General features: G+C 35.4%; 2 annotated features.

Annotated features, from left to right (window-relative positions):
• Positions 271–1,146: an enhancer, noted in NCBI's record as "NANOG-H3K27ac hESC enhancer chr10:59388131-59389006 (GRCh37/hg19 assembly coordinates)". NCBI's record gives its function as "activates a minimal SCP1, AML or CMV promoter by ChIP-STARR-seq in primed H9 embryonic stem cells {active_cell/tissue: H9 hESC(primed)}" and the evidence as "EXISTENCE:reporter gene assay evidence [ECO:0000049][PMID:30033119]".
• Positions 1,147–2,024: an enhancer, noted in NCBI's record as "OCT4-NANOG-H3K27ac hESC enhancer chr10:59387253-59388130 (GRCh37/hg19 assembly coordinates)". NCBI's record gives its function as "activates a minimal SCP1, AML or CMV promoter by ChIP-STARR-seq in primed H9 embryonic stem cells {active_cell/tissue: H9 hESC(primed)}" and the evidence as "EXISTENCE:reporter gene assay evidence [ECO:0000049][PMID:30033119]".

Genomic DNA, 4,065 nt, shown 5'->3' with positions numbered 1-4,065 from the left:
TAACTCAGGATATTAGTTTTAATCATTTAATGTCCCTGAATAAATGGGATACTCATGTTTTGCAAAATCTTTGTGGCAAGTTCTTGGGTTAGCTTTTCCTTTTCACTTGATTCAGTGAGTAAGCATTAGTAAATGTCTTTGAACTTCCTTAGATATGGTAAGAAAAAGCCTGCTGGTTTGATGAAAGAGTGACTTATTCTATATTATTTTTTATACTATGTGATAACTTGACCACTGTCTAAATATTTTAGAACATATAATTTTGCTTTTAACTATATCATGCCTGGTGTGTATTTGGGTTACATTTGCATGGTCGAGAGCAGCAATGGCAAATTTTTCATACAAAAAAATAACTATTAGGGAGTAAAAGCCTAGTTCAGGTTTAAGAGACAGAGTGAGAAGATCCATCATGATGTATGCCCTGGTTGAGAGGCCTAAGTGGCAACTTGCATGTATTAGCCATCACTGAAAGTGTCCAGAAGTTTTATAGTTTCTTGTTTAAAGTCTCACTTCTGTATTATTTAACAGAACCAAAACGTTATGGCCTAAATGTAACAATTTTGTATTATACAGTTTGAATTTTGAGTTCTCTAGTAACAGCAAAACATTTCTACTGTGCTGGGAAGAAGTAAGTAAATAATTGCTGATTCATTGCTCTGGATCAGTCTTTGAACCGTGTTTGTTGCTGTTAATAGAGGGAGCCAAGGTTAATTATCACCAGAATGAGGGGAGTGTCAATCTGTCTGCCACAGCATGGTGCTCTGAACAAGCCCAAGTCCAGCAAAAGAAAGGAAAACAAATGTCAGAGTTTACTAGAGTATGGAGATTCTGTACTACAGTCCCTAAGGAGTAGGGTTATCTTTTCCTGATGAGAATCTGTCTTCAGCCCAACTTTGCTCTCCTTCCTAATGGAGGGTGCTCCTTTCATCTCTCAGCTTTCCTTCTCTCTGAGTCTCCTCATTTGCACTGATACTGAGACTTTTAACAATAGTTTCTAGCGATTCTGTTGTTCAATAGATGAGGGGCAGTGCAAACCCATTATAAACCAAAAATAAAATTCTAAATTGCCCAGCCAACTAAATGAACCTTCGTCTTGGCCAAGGGCATTCCAAAGTTAACATGAAAAACTAATTTATGCTATGCCGGGAAAGGGAGGTCCAACATGCCTCATTGTACCCGCCTTCGTTTAGAATTCAGGAACAATTGACCAGCATTAACGTTAAACAGAGATCTTAAGACTGACAAAACAGACTCTTTGTAGCAATGAGATACCAAATTCCAATCTGACTCTATTATAGCATCAGATGAAAGATAACAAACAGGCCCTGAAAGAAACCAAACTATTTTACCCCAAAATATATTTCTTTGATATATTTTGAAACGGCCCTGCAAAACTAACTCTTGTGGGGAAAATCAACATTCTGCAGAGAATCCCCTTCCCTTTCCAGGTCTTTTCCTTGATTCAGGAGAGAATTAACTAAGAGTCTGGCACCTTTTCAGCTCTAGTAAGAGCTCTAAAGCCAGCTATTTGGGCTTCATCTGCATAACAAAAACCTTGCTCTTTACAACCTCTTATCTTAACCCAGATCCTCCTTTCTGTTGATTCCAGCTCTTTTGATAATAACTTAACTCTTTCAACCATTTGCCAGTCAGAAAATCTTTGAATCCTCCTGTGACCTGGAAGCCCCCTACTTTGAGTTGTTCCACCATTCGGGACTGAACCAATATACACCTTACATGTATGGATTAATGTCTGCCTGTAGTTTCTATCCCCCTGATGTATAAAATTAAGCTATAAACCAAACACCTTGGGCACATGGTCTCAGAACCTCCTGGGGCTATCTTGTGGTCATGCTCCTCACATTTGGCTCAGAATAAATCTCTTTAAATATTTACAGAGTTTGACTTTTTTCATTGACACCATGCAACTTGAATCAAGCTAGTACAGACATCACAGACTCTCAGATGAAAATTCTTAATGTAATTAATGGGAAAGCAACTTGGAAAACATATTATAATTTATAAATTTTTATTTATTTATTTTTTATTAAATCCATGTTTCCATGAAACATATTTTAATTTGCTATGGCATTTCTTATTATTTTTTCTTCCTTTCAAGATAATATATCATCCTGTTTTGCAACAATGTTGTACAACAAGGTGTGTACTTAATGTCACTAAACCGTACACTTAGAAATGGTTAAAATGGTAAATTCCATTTACATTTTATATCAATTAAAACAAACATGCAATTGCTGATTAATTCTCTCATTTTGGAAATTCTACCTTTAGTGAACTCATCAGTAAATAGTATCTGGGAGCTCTCAGATTATAAATATGATACGATTCAATGGGAAATAGCAAATGTTTCAATATAATAAACAGCCCAAAGAACTTTCAGTATTTTAATTGTAAGCCCTAATATTTTGTTAATGCTAGAAGATTAGAGAATTCCATAAGGTACATTAAAGGCAAATAGATTTTGTTTCATATTCCTTTATGATTATCTTTATCATAATCAAGACTGGGTTTGAATATTAGCTAAATGACCACACATTTTCAGAGTCTCATTTTAACATCTAATTTTTAAAAAGTTGTAGGGGTCAAAACAATGTATGAATATACAATAATGGGATAGACATGGATTGTTTGTTATCACCTAGACTCTTGATTCAGTTAGGCTTGTTTTGAATGCTGTGTTCATCACTTACTGGGTGGCCTTAGACCAGTTACTTAATCTTCAGGGCTCAATTTCCTCATACACAAAAACAGAAAAACAATAGTACCTTTCACTATAGACTGTTGCATAGATGAAATAATTTAATAAATCACTTAACACAGTACCTGCTACATTGCAAAAATTCAGAAAAAGGATAATTATAGTACCTATACCAAATGATGCTTTGAAGATTTCATGAGATAGTATGTGCAAAATACGTAGCATTGCCCATCATGTTGTAGCAACTCAATCAATGCCATTATCATATATATCAAAATTTTATGGTAGCATCATGTATCATGATTCAGTCATTTCCTTAATCCTGCATCACTGCAGCATGCTTGGAATGCCCAGCTTCATCCTAATGTTTCTCTTTTTTCATATTGATCTTCTAGAATACCACTTTCCTCATTGCCAGTTGTCTTTCCAGAAATTTTCCATGATTTTTCCTTGCCTGATGAATCTAAGCTGTTAGAGGCAAAGTTGCAAATTGATTCAATGATGCTAGATTCAGCCTCATAAATTCTGGCTCTATCATGAATTTGCCTCAGAAACTATGTGAAAATAAAATGTATTTTCATTATTCATTCATTCATCCAGTACTTACTTGTCAAGTCCCTGCTATGTTTCAGGACTGAAGCCAGACAGACTAAGGTATGTTATATATTGTATTTAGCCCTTTACTTACTGGGTCTGTGATCATAAGTAAAGTATTTATTATTTCAAATTTTTAACCTCTCAAATCCCCTATACATATAAATTAGGGATAATAGTAGTGCTTATTGGTTATGGGGTGAATTGTGTCCTCCTCAGATTTATATGTTGAAGTCTTAACCCTTAGCACGTCAGAATATATTGGAGATATAATTTTAGTGAGGTAATTAAGGCAAAATGTGGTCATATGGGTGGGTTCTAGTCCAATCTGACTGGTGTCCACATAAGAAGAGGGGATTAGAATACAGATACACTTAAAGATCATATGAAGACACTGGAGGAAGACGGTCACATGCAAGCTAAAGAGAGCCTTTAGAAGAAACCAACCCTGCTGACACCTTAATCTCAGGCTTCTAGCCTCCAGAGGTGTGAGAAAATAAACTTTTATTAAGTCACCCAGTCTGTGGTACTTTCTTAAGGCAACTGTAGCAAACTAATATATTACCTTAAAAAATAGTAAAGGCATTAAATGAGAAAATGCATGTAAGCATATTTCAAGGCCCTAACACCAGTCTCTATACTTTCTGTCTCTAGCCTGGCCTGTATTCTCCTGTCAGATAATCTTAAGACACAAATGCCATCTCCTTTATAGAACAATTCAAGGTTCTGACAGTGACATGATACAGAGCAGA

This window comes from Homo sapiens, chromosome 10, assembly GCF_000001405.40.
Source record: "Homo sapiens chromosome 10, GRCh38.p14 Primary Assembly".
NCBI classification, from domain to species: Eukaryota; Metazoa; Chordata; class Mammalia; order Primates; family Hominidae; genus Homo; species Homo sapiens.
Note: the sequence above shows the minus strand (reverse complement) of the source record. Positions and strands in the feature narration are given on the sequence as shown.